General features: G+C 36.8%; 1 protein-coding gene and 1 pseudogene across 8 annotated transcripts in view; both read left to right on the forward strand.

Annotated features, from left to right (window-relative positions):
* Positions 1-20,985, forward strand: part of RP1 (RP1 axonemal microtubule associated) — a 312,050-nt gene that overhangs the window by 126,781 nt on the left and 164,284 nt on the right. For all 8 annotated transcript variants that reach the window (XM_047422069.1, XM_047422070.1, XM_047422071.1 and 5 more), the window contains 3 exons: positions 13,502-13,605; positions 15,521-15,697; positions 20,478-20,690. In XM_047422069.1, coding sequence (XP_047278025.1) covers positions 13,502-13,605; positions 15,521-15,697; positions 20,478-20,690 — 494 coding nt within the window. The remainder of the gene's footprint in view (positions 1-13,501; positions 13,606-15,520; positions 15,698-20,477; positions 20,691-20,985) is intronic.
* On the forward strand, positions 10,418-11,358 carry RPL7L1P18 (RPL7L1 pseudogene 18; annotated as a pseudogene).

Consider the following 20,985-nt stretch of genomic DNA (forward strand, 5'->3'; position numbering starts at 1 on the left):
AACCAGCAGCCATCACCAACTGCTAGCATGTGAGCCTCTCTGTAGATCAAACTAACTGGTAGATGATGCAAATAGAAAAACTTTTTACCCTTCAGTGTTTCTAGCATCTTAATATGCTAGTCTTGCCATATACAAAGCAGAATGAGAAGTTCTAAAAAAGGCAGGTGGAGGATAATATGAGTAATTTTCCTCAATGTAACTGACATTTTTGCAACAGGAGGTCTTTTATGTGTGATAATTACTTGCAGGATTATTTCCTGATGTTATGCTCAGTGTCCCATAAATTCACACTAACGAATCAGTTTTCACATGCCTGGAAAGTGTTTTGATGAACAATGCTGACCTGTAGACATCTTTTCAAGAAAATATTTCAAGACTATCTCCCTGAGACATTTTGACTTACAATTTTCACTCCAGAAAAAGTTTTTTTTTTTTTGCCACCATGAACCAATATTTCTATTTAGTTATTCAGCTGCTTGTGAATTTAGTTTTTTCCATACTTAGAGAGTTAGAGTACCCATTTCTCTGAGTTCTGCTGAACCACTTCTAGGCAATACTATGCCTAAAAGCAGACACACAGCATGAGAAGTTCTTTGAAATGGCACAGGGAACTTCATTTTATGATAAACTCTTTAGGTACTAGAAACAATACTGTAACAACATTGACAATGGCAGTCACAAAGAAGTGTTGTCTCTATTGTGGGATCTTATCACTAAAAGGAAGGACCAGACAATGAAAGCTATTCAGTTTTTAACACTGAACCCTTGATGGCTACTTTTATGTCAGGGCCAGTTTCACAAACTTTACATCCCTTGACATTTCAAAATATTTACTATAAAATACAGATTCATATAGTTTTTTTAATTTTATAATAGTAGACTTTCAAGAGAAAAAATTTATAATCTGGATTTGGATATAATTGATTCATGCTACTAAAATGTTTTTAAATATTTACAATATATTACACAACTGGAAGTTTTCCTCTGTCCTAGATTATCTCCGTATTGATTTATGTAAATAATTTTACCAGGTTTTGAGTGTGGATTTTTTGCTTTTTGTTTTTGGAGTGTTTATTCATGCCATGTCAGACTATAACACATGGAAAAGATAATTGCATTTTTCTTTTTTTATTATTAAAAAGAATCTTTTGTATTACTCAATTCCTAGAAAGAATCAGGAAAGTAAAAGTCTAAAAAGCAGTGGTTTGAAGAAAAACAGGAAGCCTGCAACAGAACGTTTTGTATAGGTGAATGAAGATTATTAGTTAAGCTGCGGATGCCTGCTTTTTCTGCCCTAGTAGTCACAGGCAGAGTGGACATGCCTCTGCATAATCCTATTTTTTTAAAAAATATTTTTTATTATACTTTAACTTCGGGGATACATGTGCAGAACGTGCAGGTTTGTTACGTAGGTATACACATGCCATAGTGGTTTGCTGCACCCAACAACCCATCATCTACATTAGGTATTTCTCCTAATGCTATCCTTCCCCTAGTCCCCCAACCCCTGACAGGCCCCGGTTTGTGATGTTCCCCTCCCTATGTCCATGTGTTCTCATTGTTCGACTCCCACTTATGAGTGAAAACATGCGGTGTTTGGTTTTCTCTTCTTGTGTTACTTTGCTGAGAATGATGGTTTCCAGTTTCATCCATGTCTCTGCAAAGGACATGAACTCATCCTTTTTTATGGCTGCATAATATTCCATGGTGTATATACGCCACATTTTCTTTATCAAGTCTATCATTGATGGGCATTTGTGTCGGTTCCAAGACTTTGCTACTGTGAACAGTGCCACAATAAACATACATGTGCATGTGTCTTTATAGCAGAATGACTTATAATCCTTTGGGTATATGCCCAGGAATGGGATTTGCTGGGTCAAATGGTATTTCTGGTTCTAGATCCTTGAGGAATCGCCACACTGTCTTCCACAATGGTTGAACTAATTTACACTCCCACCAACAGTGTAAAAGCGTTCCTATTTCTCCACATCCCCTCCAGCATCTGTTGTTTCCTGACATTTTAATGACTGCCATTCTAACTGGTGTGAGATGGTATCTCATTGTGGTTTTGATTTGTATTTCTCTAATGACCAGTGATGATTAGCTTTTTTTCACATGTTTGTTGGCTGCATAAATGTCTTCTTTTGAGAAGTGTCTATTCATATCCTTGGCCCATTTTTTGATAGGGTTGTTTGTTTTTTTCCTATAAATTTGTTTAAGTTCTTTGTAGATTCTGGATATTAGACTTTTGTTAGATGGGTAGATTGCAAAACTTTTCTCCCATTCTGTAGGTGGCCTGTTCACTCTGATGATAGTTACTTTTGCTGCACAGAAGCTCTTTAGTTTAATTACATCCCATTTGTCTATTTTGGCTTTTGTTGCCATCGCTTTTGGTGTTTTAGTCATGAAGTCCTTGCCCATGCCTATGTCCTGAATAGTATTGCCTAGGTTTTCTTCTAGGGTTTTTATGGTTTTAGGTCTAACATTTAAGTCTTTAATCCATCTCGAATTAATTTTTGTATAAGGTGTAAGGAAGGGATCCAGTTTCAGCTTTCTACATATGGCTAGCCAGTTTTCCCAGCACCATTTATTAAATAGGGAATCCTTTCCCCATTTCTTGTTTCTGTCAGGTTTGTCAAAGATCAGATGGTTGTAGATGTGTGGTGTTATTTCTGAGGCCTCTGCTCTGTTCCACTGGTCTATATATCTGTTTTGGTACCAGTACCATGCTGTTTTGGTTACTGTAGCCTTGTAGTATAGTTTGAAGTCAGGTAGCATGATGCCTCCAGCTTTGTTCTTTTGGCTTAGGATTGTCTTGGCAATGCAGCTATCTTTTGATTCCATATGAACTTGAAAGTAGTTTTTTCCAATTCTGTGAAGAAAGACATCGGTAACTTGATGGGGATGGCACTGAATCTACAAATTACCTTGGGCAGTATGGCCATTTTCACGATATTGATTCTTCCTATCCATGAGCATGGAATGTTTTTCCATTTGTTTGTGTCATCTTTTATTTCGTTGAGCAGTGGTTTGTAGTTCTTCTTGAAGAGGTCCTTGACATCCCTTGTAAGTTGGATTCCTAGGTGTTTTATTCTCTTTGTAGCAATCGTGAATGGGAGTTCACTCATGATTTGGCTGTCTCTTTGTCTGTTATTGATGTATAGAAATGCTTGTGATTTTTTTACATTGATTTTGTATCCTGAGACTTTGCTGAAGTTGCTCATCAGCTTAAGGAGATTTTGGGCTGAGATGATGGGGTTTTCTAAATATACAATCATGTCATCTGCAAACAGGGACAAATTGACTTCCTCTTTTCCTAATTGAATACCCTTTATTTCTTTCTCTTGCCTGATTGCCCTGGCCAGAACTTCCAACACTATGTTGAATAGGAGTGGTGAGAGAGGGCATCCCTGTCTCGTTACATTTTAAATGCCTCTCTGGGCCTGACAATTTAAAGGGATTAGCATTCCTCAGATGAAAAGTTATTTCCTTTCTTGGGGCCTAAGTTGGCATACCCAGCTCCTTCTTTCAAAGTCAATTACTAGGTTACAAAGGATGCTAAGTCTCTTTATAAATATTGCCACATCTCTTTCCAGAAGTTATACCAGTTTTCACTGTCATCAGTGTTGCATGAGTCTCAGACTCACTACACTCTTGCCATTAAAGTAGAAATAATAACAAATACATAAGCTTGTATATGTACTTGAAACAAATAAAGGCACACTTATTTAAATTTGGAAAGTAAGGCTAAGGTTTTTTTGCATAAAGCATAACTAGTTAATGGGGCTGTACACTCTACCCACTTTTGTTTGTGACATAGTTTTCTATTTACTTGGCATCCCCTTTCACTCTCAGTGGTGCCCTAATGACAGTCAGTTATACAGTCACCATATCTCTAATACATACTTTTTAAGTTTCCAGTTCCAGTTTCAACTAAAGTGAAGTGACAATTTAAAGAGAATTATTTCATAGGGGATATAGCTTCTTAAATCTTCTTTGCACTTTCAAGACAAACTTCTAAATTTTAAAAATTACTGCTTCAGTAAATAATTTGTATGGTGTGTTGAAGAGGGTAATACCTTTTTTCCCTTTGCTTCAACTTAAAAAAATTATTTTGCTGGTTGTTCTCTAATTCCCTTTGAATAGATAAAAATATAGCCAATTTCAATACCTGCCACCTGTGTAAATTTTCTTTGGTCTCCTTACCTAACCCTTGGTACTAATGGAATTCCAGTTCCTCTCTGAGGTCATTGCTAATAGTTAATCAACATAATTTTAGGCCCTATTTCTAGTGAATATCCTGTGATGATTAGCTGCAGTTCTTGTCTCTGTCTGGTTCTCTGTACTTGGTTCTAATTAAGAATCTGAAAAAAGGTTTATTAGTGTATAACACTAACTATACACTGGCCAGTTTTTCTACTGCCCAGTTCTTACCACATCTTAACTATACTTCTCTGAAATCAAACCCCTCTATTTTCTGAGCAGAGTTTGAAAGACCTCCTTTGTTTTAGATTGGAAATGGATGTGCTCTAAATTGGGTATTGTCTGGTTCAGCCCCCTTTACTGAGAACTTCAATCCCTAAATAGAGAAAGAAACCTTGGGGAGAGGAGACGTCAGGGGAGTAGAGAATTCTGGATGTCTTGGAAATACATGTACATATTAATAGGGGAATGGCTGCTGATTTTTTCTGGGATGTATACTGTAACTCTCTGACTTAAGTATATAGTATGAAGTGTAGCACCTTTACTGAGCTGCAGCAAATCAGGGCTATTTGTATCAAATTGCTGAATTTCTCAATTCAGAATCTCGCAAGAGATCTAACGTTAGTTTCAAGTGTTGTACTGCATGTGGTTGCAACAGGGAGTGTTTAAGCTTATGTTTTACTCTAGAAGTTGTAAAACAAGTTTTAAACATTTTCCCCCACCACTACAACCATAATCATCTCATGTTAAAAGCAGTCTGCTAGGAACCCAAAGCTGTCAACTGCATTTGGTAATTTAAACCTTTACTCTTCCATGGCTACTCTTTGCCTATTACAAAAGGCTCTGGGAGAGAAGTTGCATGTCCAAAATCAGCTTCCTTTATTCCCTCCTGGTTTGAGAGATAGCCACGAATGGATTTGAAGTAGAGTAGAAACACTTTGGCAGCTAAGTGGAGGCCAGATTTGAGGCATATGGAGGAAGATTAGAAAAGGAAAGACCAGTCAGTAGGTTTTTGTAATATGGCAAGCAAAAGGTGATGAGGACTTTGAGTACTTCAGTGGGAATATTGATTGAGAAGAAAGAAAAATTTGAAGAATTTCTAGCAAGCAAAATTGGCAGGGCTTGGTGATATATTGGAAAAGGAATGTTAAGGGAAAAGGATTACTCTAAGGTTTCTGCATTGGGTAATTGAATTATTCATTGAGTCACTAACTGAAGAAATAAATCTAGAAGGATTTAGAAGGATTAGATTTGAAAGCTAGGAATGTGTGGAAAATTATGAGTTCTAGTTTGTGCATTCTAAGTTTGAAGTGCTCATGAAACATCCAGTTGTTTACATGCAAAAGTATATGAACCTGATGCTGAGCGAGAGATGAGTGGAGATACAGGTTTAGAATTTCTCAATTTATAGATTATTAAAGCAGACTTCCCAGGGAGCGAGAAGAAGAGGCATGAGAACGGTAGTCATTTAAAGATAGAACCCTAGGAACACCTTTGAGTGAAGAGCATGTAGGGGACAAGGGAAAACTTCCCCTTTTCCTTGTGAAGATTCACTAAAAATCACTGATAAAATGCAGATTAATAGGGGAAAAAGCATACAAATATATATATATTTTTCAAAGTCTCTGGCTTTTTATTTTTATTTTATTTTATTATTATTATACTTTAAGTTTTAGGGTACATGTGCACAATGTGCAGGTTTGTTACATATGTATACATGTGCCATGTTCGTGTACAGCACCCATTAACTCGTCATTTAGCATTAGGTATATCTCCTAATGCTGTCGCTCCCCCCTCCCCCAACCCTACAACAGTCCCCAGAGTGTGATGTTCCCCTTCCTGTGTCCATGTGTTCTCGTTGTTCAATTCCCACCTATGAGTGAGAACATGTGGTGTTTGGTTTTTTGTCCTTGTGATAATTTGCTGAGAATGATGATTTCCAATTTCATCCATGTCCCTACAAAGGACATGAACTCATCGTTTTTTATGGCTGCATAGTATTCCATGGTGTATATGTGCCACATTTTCTTAATCCAGTCTATCGTTGTTGGACATTTGGGTTGGTTCCAAGTCTTTGCTATTGTGAATAGTGCAACAATAAACATACATGTGCATGTGTCTTTATAGCAGCATGATTTATAGTCCTTTGGGTATATACCCAGTAATAGGATGGCTGGGTCAAATGGTATTTCTAGTTCTAGATCCCTGAGGAATCACCACACTGACTTCCACAATGGTGGAACTAGTTTACAGTCCCAGTAACAGTGTAAAACTATTCCTATTTCTCCACATCCTCTCCAGCACCTGTTGTTTCCTGACTTTTTAATGATTGCCATTCTAACTGGTGTGAGATGGTATCTCATTGTGCTTTTGATTTGCATTTCTCTGATGGCCAGTGATAATGAGCATTTTTTCATGTGTCTTTTGGCTGCATAAATGTCTTCTTTTGAGAAGTGTCTGTTCATGTCCTTCGCCCACTTTTTGATGGGGTTGTTTGTTTTTTTCTTGTAAATTTGTTTGAGTTCATTGTAGATTCTGGATATTAGCCCTTTGTCAGATGAGTAGGTTGCGAAAATTTTCTCCCATTCTGTAGGTTGCCTGTTCACTCTGATTGTGGTTTCTTTTGCTGTGCAGAAGCTCTTTAGTTTAATTAGATCCCATTTGCCAATTTTGGCTTTTGTTGCCATTGCTTTTGGTGTTTTAGCCATGAAGTGCTTGCCCATGCCTATGTCCTGAATGGTATTGCCTAGGTTTTCTTCTAGGGTTTTTATGGTTTTAGGTCTAACATTTACGTCTTTAATCCATCTTGAATTAATTTTTGTATAAGGTGTAAGGAAGGGATCCAGTTTCAGCTTTCTACATATGGCCAGCCAGTTTTCCAAGCACCATTTATTAAATAGGGAATCCTTTCCCCATTGCTTGTTTTTGTCAGGTTTGTCAAAGATCAGATGGTTGTAGATATGAGGCATTATTTCTGAGGGCTCTGTTCTGTTCCATTGGTCTATATCTCTGTTTTGGTACCATTACCATGCCGTTTTGATTACTGTAGCCTTGTAGTATAGTTTGAAGTCAGGTAGTGTGATGCCTCCAGCTTTGTTCTTTTGGCTTAGGATTGACTTGGTGATGCGGGCTCTTTTTTGGTTCCATATGAACTTGAAAGTAGTTTTTTCTAATTCTGTGAAGAAAGTCATTGGTAGCTTGATGGGGATGGCCTTGAATCTATAAAATACCTTGGACAGTATGGCCATTTTCACAATATTGATTCTTCCTACCCATGAGTATGGAATGTTCTTCCATTTGTTTGTATCCTCTTTTATTTCGTTGAGCAGTGGTTTGTAGTTCTCCTTGAAGAGGTCCTTCCTGTCCCTTGTAAGTTGAATTCCTAGATATTTTATTCTCTTTGAAGCAATTGTGAATGGGAGTTCACTCATGATTTGACTCTCTGTTTGTCTGTTATTGGTGTATAAGAATGCTTGTGATTTTTGTACATTGATTTTGTATCCTGAGACTTTGCTGACATTGTTTATCAGCTTCAGGAAATTTTTGGCTGAGACAATGGGGTTTTCTAGATATACAATCATGTCATCTGCAAACATGGACAATTTGACTTCCTCTTTTCCTAATTGAATACCCTTTATTTCCTTCTCCTGCCTAATTGCCCTGGCCAGAACTTCCAACACTATGTTGAATAGGAGTGGTGAGACAGGGCATCCCTGTCTCGTGCCAGTTTTCAAAGGGAATGCTTCCAGTTTTTGCCCATTCAGTATGATATTGGGTGTGGGTTTGTCATAGATAGCTCTTATTATTTTGAGATACATCCCATCAATACCTAATTTATTGAGAGTTTTTAGCATGAAGGGTTGTTGAATTTTGCCAAAGGCCTTTTCTGCATTTACTGAGATAATCATGTGGTTTTTGTCTTTGGTTCTATTTATATGCTGGATTACATTTATTGATTTGCATATGTTGAACCAGCCTTGCATCCCAGGGATGAAGCCCACTTGATCATAGTGGATAAGCTTTTTGATGTGCTGCTGGATTCAGTTTGCCAGTATTTTATTGAGGATTTTTGCATCAACGTTCATCGAGGATATTGGTCTAAAATTCTCTTTTTTTGTTGTGTCTCTGCCAGGCTTTGGTATCAGGATGATGCTGGCCTCATAAAATGAGTTAGGGAAGATTCCCTCTTTTTCTATTGATTGGAATAGTTTCAGAAGGAATGGTACCAGCTCCTCCTTGTAGCTCTGGTAGAATTCAGCTGTGAATCCATCTGATCCTGGACTCTTTTTGGTTGGTAAGCTATTGATTATTGCCACAATTTCGGAGCCTGTTATTGGTCTATTCAGAGATTCAACTTCTTCCTGGTTTAGTCTTGGGAGGGTATATGTGTTGCGGAATTTATCCATTTCTTCTAGATTTTCTAGTTTATTTGCGTAGAGGTGTTTGTAGTATTCTCTGATGGTAGTTTGTATTTCTGTGGGATCGGTGGTGATATCCCCTTTATTATTTTTTATTGCATCTATTTGATTCTTCTGTCTTTTCTTTTTTATTAGTCTTGCTAGCGGTCTATCAATTTTGTTGATCTTTTCAAAAAACCACCTCCTGGATTCATTAATTTTTTATAGGGTTTTTTGTGTTTCTATTTCCTTCAGTTCTTCTCTGATTTTAGTTATTTCTTGCCTTCTGCTAGCTTTTGAATGTGTTTGCTCTTGCTTTTCTAGTTCTTTTAATTGTGATGTTAGGATGTCAATTTTGGATCTTTCCTGCTTTCTCTTGTGGGCATTTAGTGCTATAAATTTCCCTCTACACACTGCTTTGAATGTGTCCCAGAGATTCTGGTATGTTGCGTCTTTGTTCTCGTTGGTTTCAAAGAACATGTTTATTTCTGCCTTCATTTCGTTATGCACCCAGTAGTCATTCAGGAGCAGGTTGTTCAGTTTCCATGTAGTTGAGCGGTTTTGAGTGAGTTTCTTAATCCTGAGTTCTAGTTTGATTGCACTGTGGTCTGAGAGACAGTTTGTTATAATTTCTGTTCTTTTGCATTTGCTGAGGAATGCTTTACTTCTTAAAATCGGGACCCTTAATTTTTTTTTTCTCAGCAGAAATAACTGATTTATTCAACAAATATTTATAAAATACTTAACTGTTGATGAGATAGTCTTACGTGTGGGACTAACAGCAATGACAGTAAGATAAATAGCCATCTCTTCATAGAACTTGTAGTTGATATTCTTGATAAACTTTAAAATAAAGAAATTTTTATAACAAAATATGTAAATTTTTATTATTTTAATTATTGAGTTCTTACTGAAAAAAATAAGATAATACCTTTATAGTTTTATGAATTTAAATTCTGGTATTTATGAAATCATTAGAACAATAAGAAGATTAAATTAAACCAGAAAATTATTCTTAGAACATTTTCAGGAACACCTTTAGTTTTCAGATTCTTTCATTGTGAACTCATTAGTTTGCACAATTAATGAATCATCTGAACAAGTCATTTGAGAATTCTTGCCTTGATTTTATTGATGAGGAAATTGACAGAGAGAAGAACAGTGCTTTGTCCAAGGTTATCTAATGAGTTGTGTCAGACTCAAAGTCAGAATTCCTAGTTCTTGTTTCTTTCCTTATTTCAATAACACCCTAACCCCCAGGATCATCTGTAAGTGCTTGTCAACATGGTTTAATTTTATGAGATCCTAAGTCTTAAACATTAAGATGCATTTTATTATGTAGACAAAAATAAATTAGAAATTAATTAAACAGGAAGATTTCCATTTGGAGTGGTCTATTGAACTAATCTGTGTCTTTCATTTTTAGAAATATGACTTTAAATGAATATAAAATCATATAAATATATAGTAAAATCCTTTTAAAAATTGAAATTCTATAGTTAACCTCTGCATCAGACCTTATTCTTAACTAAAAGTGTTTGCCTGTGTGGTTAACTGGAATAGAATTATAAAGGTAGAATTAATTTATTGCATTTACCAATGCTAGATGAATATACACATATAGTAAAGCAGGTAATTAAATAATTCCATGCTAAAAATTGGGATTTGGGACTATAAATTACCCAATAACTACCATAATCCTCCTTCATTTGGTATATATTGACTAAACTCAAAATTTTTAGTTAATACAAAATGGGCTGTGCTGACAATAGTAAGAAATGAAGGATTGGTTCATTTTAGAAAATCTAACTTTGTGCAACACTAGAAAGATGGCGGAGCAAGAGCAAAGAAAAAATCCCTTTGTTCCAGAAAGTCTCCTGAAAAAGAGGAAAGCTTATCAAGCCCTCGAAGCCACCCAGGCAAAGCAGGCACTTTTGGCAAAGAAGGAGCAGAGGAAAGGAAAAGGGCTCAGGTTTAAGTGACTGGAATTATTCCTACATGACTCCTGGCAGCAGAAACGTGACAAAGTACGTCTCAGATGACCAGAAGTGAAACCTCATGCCTTAGAATTGCCAGATAAACATTCCTTGGCCTTTGTTGTACGCATCAAAAGGATTGATGGTGTGATTTTACTGGTGCAGAGAACCACTTCAAGACTTCGCCTAAAGAAAATGTTTAGTGGTGTCTTGGTAAAAGTCACCCCCCAGAACCTAAAAATGCCACGTATAGTGGAACGTTATGTGACCTGCGGATTTCCAAATCTGAAGTCTGTCCAGTAACTCATTTTGAAATGTGGACAAGCCAAGGTCAAGAATAAGATCGTTCTTCTGACAGACAACACAGTGATTGAGGAGCACCTGGGGAAGTTTGACATCATTTGCTTGGAAGACCTCATTCATGAAATTGCCTTCCCAGGGAATCATTTCCAGGAGATCTCATGGTTCTTGCACCCTTTCCACCTTTCAGTGGCCCGTCACGCTACCAAAAATAGAGTGGGCTTCCTCAAGGAGATGGGCACACCTGGCTATCGGGGTGAACGCATCAATCAGCTCATCTAGACCTAGGTGCCGAACAGCACTACATTTTTATCAATGAAGTGGAAGCATGTGTTTCCTTTTTTTGGGGGAATTTTTATCCAGAGAAGATTATTTCCTGCGTTATCTTCAAAAACTGGAAAGGAAGGGTCAAAAAAAAGACAGTACCTGGCCGGGCGTGATGGCTCATGCCTGTAATCCCAGAACTTTGGTAGTCTGAGGCAGGTGGATCTCCTGAGGTCGGGAGTTCGAGATCAGCCTGACCAACATGGAGAAACCCCGTCTCTACGAAAAATACAAAAATTAGCTGGGCATGGTGGCGCATGCCTGTGATCCCAACTACTCAGGAGGCTGAGGCAGGAGAATCACTTGAACCTGGGAGGCAGATGCTGCAGTGAGCCAAGATTGTGCCATTGCACTCCAGCCTGGGCAACAAAAGCGAAACTCCATCTCAAAAAAAGAAAAGAAAAGACAGTAGCTTATGTTCATGGCAAGCACCTCTCATCACAGTCCAGTTCCAAGGAAAAAATTCCAGCGTTTTCTCAAGGCTACAGAAACCAAAACAGCATGGTACTGGTACCCAAACAGATATGTAGACCAATGAAACAGAACAGAGCCCTCAGAAATAACACCACACATCTACAACCAACTGATCTTTGACAAACCTGACAAAAACAAGCAATGGGGAGAGGATTCCCTATTTAATAAATGGTGCTGGGAAAACTGGCTAGCCATATGTAGAAAGCCGAAACTGGATCCCTTCATTACACCTTATACAAAAATTAACTCAAGATGGATTAAAGACTTAAACGTAACACCTAAAACCATAAAAACCCTAGAAGAAAACCTAGGCAATACCATTCAGGACATAAGCATGGAAAAAGACTTCATGACTAAAACACCAATAGCAAGGGCAACAAAAGAAAAAACTGACAAATGGGATCTAATTCAGCTAAAGAGCTTCTGCACAGCAAAAGAAACTATCATCAGAGTGAACAGGCCACCTACAGAATGGGAGAAAAGTTTTGCAATCTACCCATCTGACAAAGGGCTAATATCCAGAATCTACAAAGAACTTAAACAAATTTACAAGAAAAAAACAACCCCATCAAAAAATGGGCAAAGGATATGAACAAACACTTCTCAAAAGAGACATTTATGCAGCCAACAAACTTATGAAAAAATGCTCATCATCACTGGTCATCAGAGAAATGCAAATCAAAACCACAATGAGATACCACCTCCAGCCAGTTAGAATGACGATCATTAAAATGTCAGGAAACAACAGATACTGGAGAGGATGTGGAGAAATAGGAACGCTTTTACGCTGTTGGTGGGAGTGTAAGTTAGTTCAACCATTGTGGAAGACAGTGTGGTGATTCCTCAAGGATCTAGAACTAGAAATACCATTTGACCCAGCAAATCCCATTCCTGGGTATATACCCAAAGGATTATAAATCATTCTGCTATAAAGACACATGCACACGTATGTTTATTGCAGCACTGTTCACAATAGCAAAGTCTTGGAACCAACACAAATGTCCATCAATGATAGACTGGATAAAGAAAATGTGGCACATATACACCATGGAATACTCTGCAGTCATAAAAAAGGGTGAGTTCATGTCCTTTGCAGGGACATGGATGAAACTGGAAACCATCATTCTCAGCAAAGTAACACAAGAAGAGAAAACCAAACACCTCATGTTTTCACTCATAAGTGGGAGTTGAACAATGAGAACACATGGACATAGGGAGGGGAACATCACACATCAAGGCCTATCGGGGGTTGGGGTCCTGGGGGAGGGATAGCATTAGGAGAAATACCTAATGTAAATGATGAGTTGATGGGTGCAGCAAACCAACATGGCACATGTATACCTATATTAGAAACCTGCACGTTGTGCACATGTACCCCAGAACTTAAAGTATAATAAAATAAAAGAAAGTTTAACTTTGTTATCATGAAATCATTTTGTAAATATTATATAATACACATTACATGTTATATATTTAATATATTTGATATATTAGTATATTGTATATGTATATAGATATAGCTGTGTATATACGTACATACTCAAATACATACAACACACAGACTAGGAAATGAAATAGGTCATGGATCAAGGAATCACCAGTTTTTAAAATCATTTTATTCACATACATATAGATGAGAAAAGTGCATACATTATACTATGAATTTTCACAAACTGAACATACTGTGGAGATGCATTTTACCTTTAACTGAAAACATTTAATTGAGAAGTTTAAAATATATTATTAAGAGATTTCAGTATATATTGAATGAAAAAAGTTTTAAAAGCCAAACTTGCTTTCTAATACTTTAAAAATGTTTTCCAGGTGTCTTTGATGTTATTTTCAACAAAAGAAATATATGCATTTTCCAAAGTCATGAGATGAGGCATCTTTCTCTTGCTCTTGACAATGGCATTGTCACTGGAATGGTGTGTAGTAAATTTTCTTTTTGCCATATATCAATAGTATTATGTCTGTATATTTTTTTGTATAAGATACATTTATAAGATTACCATTTCCTTTTGGCTTGTACTAGCACTTTTTTCATTCTGTTTTGTTTCACTAATTGTTGAGACTGTGATGCATAAATGGTTCCAAATTTCAGCAATTGGAATTTAGACAAGAAAAAGTAGACCAATTCTCTAATAACATTCAAAATTTTAATGAGCTTTCAAAAGAAGACTGACTTCTCAATGGCCCTTTTAGGGACCATATTGTTGGAGAAAAAACAATAATTTTTTATAGTTATACCTTGTGTTGCTTAGTTTAGATTTGAAAAGTAGCATTTAATGTAATGCATACATGTTATTTATTTTTTAAAATAATACATTGTACGATAACTTTAATGCACTGTTTTAAGTGCTTAATATGTATTACAATATTTCATTCTTAAATCTACTAGATGAGATAATCCATTATTATTTGTATTTAACAGAAGAGGAACATGAAAAATAGGATTAAGTGAGTTGCACAGAGTCACAAGCTAGTAAGTGTGGAAGCAGGAATTTAATATAGGCAGTCTGACACTAACACCAGTGCTACAGCTTCCTCATATAATGCTATACAATAATTTTTTTTTTTTTTGAGACAAGGTCTTGCTCTGTTACCCAGGCTAGAGGGCAGTTGGCATGATCAGAACTCACTGCAGCCTCGAATTCCTGGGCTCAAGCATTCTTCCTGCCTCAGCCTCCCAAAATACTGGCATTACAGGCTGATTTCAACTCATGGGATGTTATTTAACCTAAGGGAAAATAATACTTATTGAAAAAAAAACCCACCTTGTGTATTTGTATGCCTGAAATTCTGACTAAGTGATCAGTCAGTCAGATTTTTCCATGAAGCCTTTTCTTCTCTGCTCTGGACTTCATAAGGTACCCTACACTGTAGTTCATAGCACATTCTGATCAGTATGGAGCCTGGTCATAGTATATGCTTAAGAAATATGACTATGGATATGGAATCTACTCCATTGAATTAAGAGTTGAAGAAATATCTCTTCAACTACTATATTTTTCTAAAATCAAATTAAGGCTACCTTAAAGCCCTTATTCCACTAGGTTGCAGTAGGTTGGTGGGAGATTTCATTTTAGTTACTATGGGACTCATCTTGTTTCACAGAAGATTTCATCTGGTATGGTGGGCCTCAGAATATCTGGTGACAGCTGTCATAGCTTTGAACCACACTGGTTACTGAGATGTGCTCATCCAGTGTCAGATGGTTTCTTGCAGATCAATAGCTCTGCCGCCTCCCTGCCATACTTGGGCAATAGAACTTTGCTGAGGTTGATAGACTTAGTGTTTTGGATCTAGCCATTCAAGAGGCACCAACGACTTTTCCTCTTCACACCCTACTGCCTCCCTGGGGAACTAGAGGGAGATGGGGTGAGACCTAAAACGCTGTCCTGAACAATAGTCATGTCTCAATGTAGCATAACCTTCTCAATTTGTTTCATTTTTGAAAGCAAAATTTAGGAATGAGATAAAATTTCTATCGATTTCAGTTTTTAGTCCCAAATACTCTTAAATTAGGAGGACACAAATGAGAAAATGAAAAAAAATGATAAGATACATATTAGGATCTTATTAAATTATCCTGCCAATGAAGTTATTTTTCCAACATTCTTCCATGGATTCTGAGAAATCAAGAGAAGGAAGTCATTGGAGCAAGTCATTGGAATTAAGTCTGGGGAATAAAACCTACTGAATTTCAAAATCATGAGATTTTATAAATAGTACAAAGTTTCCATAAAATGAAGTAGACACCTGTATATGTATATAATGTGATTACATTAAATTTTTTTTTTCTGTTACTAATTTAGAGGGTTTTTTTGTTTTTCCTTTTAGGTTAGTGGTGAAGCCACCACTGAGCTGCGGGTGCTTTATCAGCCTAACCGCTGTGCACTTCTTGAGTCGGCACTGGTTCCTGGTCACACAGTTGTTTTTGATCGTCATGGCAAAATAGCTGATGCATCATCAGCAGGCTATGCAAATCTTTCAAAAGAATTTGTGATTTTTGTCAAGGTAAAATGGAGAAAGTTATTAAAGTTTATATTGCTAAATCCCAACTTTCTTTTGCCCTATTGAGCAAAAGTCTTAAATTGAGTCATAATGCAGTAATCGAATCACTTCCCACTAGGTGGCATTGGTGCCTATTTCCATTCTGTTTGGCAGACTTTGAAAGGCAATAGAGATGACAGCTTTAGTAGCAATGACACTCTGAGGGGATTAATATCCTGTATGTAATTGAAGTTGGAGATTTAACTATGGATGTGGGAATTCTTAATAAAAAGTTAGAGAACCTTGCATTTGGGAGTCAAATGTGTATATTGAACTTTTCTAACAATTAGAATTTATACTCTTTGAGTGTTGTATACATTTGATCCTTTCATAATGCTTATTCTTTTTTCTTTATGTGTTTGTGAATCTATCTTAAAATGATATTATATAAATATAATAGCAATTATTTATGAGGTTTCCCATTTTATTCCAGGCATTTATTGAGAATTTCACCACACGGTGAGACTAAATTTAATCATCACAAAAACACTGACAAATGCTATCTGTATTTGAAACGCGAAGGAAAAGATTTTCACTAAAAATAATTATCTTAACTAGTATAGCATAGTTATTAAATCAATATTCAGCTAAAGTCTACTTATATTTAAAACCTCAAAGATATTGTAGGTTCATTTCTAGACCATTGCAATAAAGCAGATTTCTCAATAAAGCTAGTCACACAAATTCCTGAGTTTTCCAGTGCCTGTAAAAGTTATGTTTACTACACTGTAGTCTATTAAGTGTACAACAGCATTATGTCTAAAAAATGTACATACCTTAATTTAAAAATATTTTAGTGCTAAAAAATGTTAATGATCATCTGAGCCTTCAGCAAGTTGTAATCTTTTTGCTGTAGCGGGGGGTCTTGCCTCGATATTGACAGTTGCTGATGAATCAGGGTGGTGGTTGCTGCAGATTGGGGTGGCTGTGTCAGTTTCTTAAAATAAGACAACAATGAAGTTTGCCACAGTGATTGACTCATTCTTTCATGAAAGATTTCTCTATAGCATGCAATGTTGTTTGATAGCATTTTATCCATAGTAGAACTTTTCAAAATTAGTATAAATCCTCTCGAGCTGCTGCTGCTTTATCAACTGAGTTTATTTAATAGTCTGAATCATTTGTTGTCATTTTAACAATGTTCACAGTATCTTCATCAGGAGTTTATTCTGTTTCAACAAATTACATTCTTTGCTCATCCATAAGAAGTAATCTTTCATCTGTTCAATTTTATCATGAGATTGCAGCAATTCAGTCACAACTTCAAGCTCCACTTCTCATTCTAGCTCCTTTGCTATTTCTACCACATCTGCAGTTATTTCCTCCTCCAAAGTCTTGAACCACTCAAAATCGTTCACGAGGTTTCAAATCAAATTCTTTCAAACTCCTGTTAATGTTGAGATTTTGACCTCCTATCCCCATGAATCATAGTTGTTCTTAATGGCATCTAGAATGGTGAATCTTTTCCAAAAGGTATTCAGTGTACTTTGCCCACAGCCATCAGTGAAATCACTGTCTATGGCAGCTATAGTATTAGGAAATGTATTTCTTAAATAATAAGGCTTGAAAATTGAAATTACTTCTTGATCCATAGGCTACAGAATGGATATTGTGTTAGCAGGCATGAAAATAACATTAATCTCCTTGTACGTGTCCATCAGAGCTCTTGGGTGACCAGGTACATTGTCAATGAATAGTTATATTTTAAATTGTTTTTCTTCTGAGCAGTAGGTCTCAACAGTGGGCTGAAAATACTCAGTAAACGATGCTGTAAATAGATATGCTGTCCTTCAGGCTTCATTTTTCCATTTCTAGAGCACAGGTAGAGTAGATTTAGTATAATTCCAAAGGGCCCTTGGGTTTTTGGAATGGTAAATGGGCACTGGCTTCAACTGAAAGTCACCAACTGCATTAGCCCTTAACAAGAGAGTCAACTTATCCTTTGAAGCTTTGAAGCCAGGCAATGAATTCTCCTCTCTAGCTATGAAAGTCATGTGTGGCATCTTCTTCTAATAGAAGGCTGTTTTATTTACACTGAAAATCTGTTGATAATCTCATCAATTATCTTAACTAGATCTTCTGGGTAACTTGCTACAGCTTCTCCATCAGTACTTGCTGCTTTACCTTGCACTGTTATGTTACGAAGATGGCTTCTTTCCTTAAACTTCATCAACCAACCTCTGCTAGCTTCAACCTTTTCTCCTGAAGCTTCCTCACCTCTCTCAGCCTTCATAGAATTGTAGAGAGTTAGGGCCTTGCTCTTGGGGTTAGGCTTTGGCTAAGGGAACATTGTGGTTGGTTTTGGTCTTATATCCAGGCCACTAAAACTTTCCCCATATCAGCAATAAGGCTGTTTAAGTTTCTTATTATTCATGTGTTCACTGGAGTAGCATTTCTGATCTGCTTCAAGAACTTTTCCTTTGCATTCACAACATGGCTACCTTACACAAGGGGCCTAGCTTTAGATCTGCCTCAGCTTTTGACAGATCTTCCTCGCTAAGCTCAGTCATTTCTAGCTTTTGATTTAAAGCAGGAGATATGTGACTCTTCCTTTCATTTGAACACTTAGAGGCCATTATAGGGTTATTGATTAGACTAATTTCAATATTGTTGTGTCTGAGGGAATAGAGAGGCGAGAGAGAGATAGGGGAATGACTGGTTAGTGGAGCCATTCAGAACACACACAGCATTTGTTGATTAAGTTCACTGTCTTATATGAGCATAGTTTATGTCCCCCTAAAATAATTACGATAGTTAACATCAAAGATCACTGATCACAGATCACCATAACAGTTATCATAATAATGAAAAGCTTGAAATATTGTGATAATTACCAAAATGTGGCACAGAGACATGAAGTGAACACATGCTGTTGGAAAAATAGTACTGATAGACTTGCTTGATGTAGGGTTCTCACAAACCTTCAATTTAAGAAAAATTATCTGTGAAGCAAATAAAGTGAAGCACAATTAAGTGAAGTGCAAATAAACAAGGTATGTGTGTACTTACAGTATAATAAACACTTTCTCACATTACTATTTCTCCCAAAGCAACATAATTTTAACTCATACATCTCATGTTATTTAGCTTAAGGTTGAACTTAAGGTTAATGGTTTCATAATACTCAAATGTAACTATTACATGTATACACACACACACATATGTCTTTTTTGTTGTTGAACATTTAATCTCTCTCTTTTCCCACTTCTGCATATGATACTGTAATATATACTTTGACATATGCCTTTGACCACATCATTTATTATTTTCTTAGCTTAGAAAATTAAAAATTGAACTTAAGGGTTAGAACGTGAAACTTTTAAGGCTCTGGGAACATACTGCCAAATTTATTTCTTCAGATGTCCCAATTTTTACTCCTGTGAAAGTTAAGCCAACTATAAAGTTAGGGGGAACAGTCTATAATACTATCCTCACTTCTGACATCAACCACAGAGTTTGGGGGACCCCGAGACCACTATCAAGGCTTGATAATTCACCGGAAGAACTCACAGAACCCATTGAAAATTGTTATACTCAAAGTTACAGTTTATTATAGAGAAAGGATACAGATTAAAATTGGCTAAGCAAAGAGACACATAAGGCAGAGTCTAGGAAAAGCACCAAACATGGAATGTGCACTGGTTCTCTCCCCATGGAGTCAAGGCAGAGGTACTTTCTCAGCACTGGTGTGTGACAGTATGCATGGAGTATTGCCAGCCAAGGAAGCTTCCCGAGCCTTGGTATTCAGAGTCTTTATTGGGCTTCCATCCTGTAGTGAGTCCATGTGGCTGGTCTCAGTCTCCAGCCTCTCAGGAGGTCACTTAACACTTTCTGACTCAAAGCCCCCTACCCTAAGTCACATTATTACTATCTGGCTGACCCAAGCTCTGCAGGCAAACAACAACACTCCTATCAGGCATGACACTCCAAGGGTAAAGAGATTACCACTCAGAAGCTGAGGCGAAGGTCAGACTTCTCTGGGTAAAGTTAAATTCTTAGTACCCAACTAGTTTCAGCAGTGTAGGAAAACACCCACCTCACTGACCTCAGTGTTGTTGAGTATGGTCCTTAAGGAGAAGAACTTTGACAATTTTCTAGAGGAACAGATATCCAATTTTAGCTTTTTTTTTTTTTTGTATTACTAGCATGGATTACTTTTCCTTATGTTTGTTCACCATTTGTATTTTATCTTTTGTGATTTGTGTATTTATCTATTATCAGTTTTACTGTGTTAGTGTATTTCTAATTAACTCTCAAGAGTCTTTTATATCTTCCTCTTAAATTAATGATTACATAGGATTTTCTTAAATATATCTTATTTGTATTTGATATCTTTTTACATTCATTCCTATATGCATACATTTAAATATCCATAGAGAGTATTCCATAATTCAGTTACTCTTATAGCATATTTTTATTGTGCTTTATATTAATATTAACATTATTTGTTTAAGGTGATAGTAAATTCCTTAAGAGAAATATATGTGTTTTGTATCTTTTAAAAATCTCTGTAGCATCTCATGCTGGCCTTTATACTGTCAACAAATGATAACTGAAGTAAACCAACCTCCTTTTGTTTACTTTTGCATAGCAGTGACATTGTTTACTTCTTTTGCTCGTTTTCAGCCACCAAGCCTCCTGGTCACTATGGCTTCAGTAAGAGAATTGCCTCTATAGTTGTCTCCCTCTAGCAAAACACGAGCCCGTTACTGACTGCCTTTCTGTTCTGTTTGTTGCTCTGAAGGGGGTGTTCCTCAACAGTGCTGTGGTTCTGCTTGCTACAAGCCTGTGTCAGGCCCTGTGTCTCCAGCCTGATGGAAGCTGCACTGGAGTGGGAAGCCAGTCTGAAAAATCCTACTGGAAAGTGCATAAAATCAGCTCTGGGATTTGCATGTTTGAAAGTGTGAAAAATGCACAAATGTATCTAAGAATCAAGGATGGCCGATGCGATGGAACAGTAAGCATCTGCTCTTGTTTCTCTCAGCAAATGTTTAAGACATTTGCCAGTTGTAGACATGAGAATAGCACTTTCTGAGTGGGTTTTGGAAATTGAATGTTACATGTGGTGGTCTCCCTTGACTGGTATTTTTAATAAGTGAGGAGAGCAGCCACATGCCTGGTATGATAAGAGAGGAATCCTGACCCTCTAGATAGGGCCTCTGAAATGTAATGTATGTACAAATCACCTGGGAATTGTGTTAGGAAGTAGATTCTGATTGAGGAAGGCTGGCGTGGGACCTGAGTGTTTACGT

The sequence above is a fragment of the Homo sapiens genome, chromosome 8 (genome assembly GCF_000001405.40).
Source record: "Homo sapiens chromosome 8, GRCh38.p14 Primary Assembly".
NCBI classification, from domain to species: domain Eukaryota; kingdom Metazoa; phylum Chordata; class Mammalia; order Primates; family Hominidae; genus Homo; species Homo sapiens.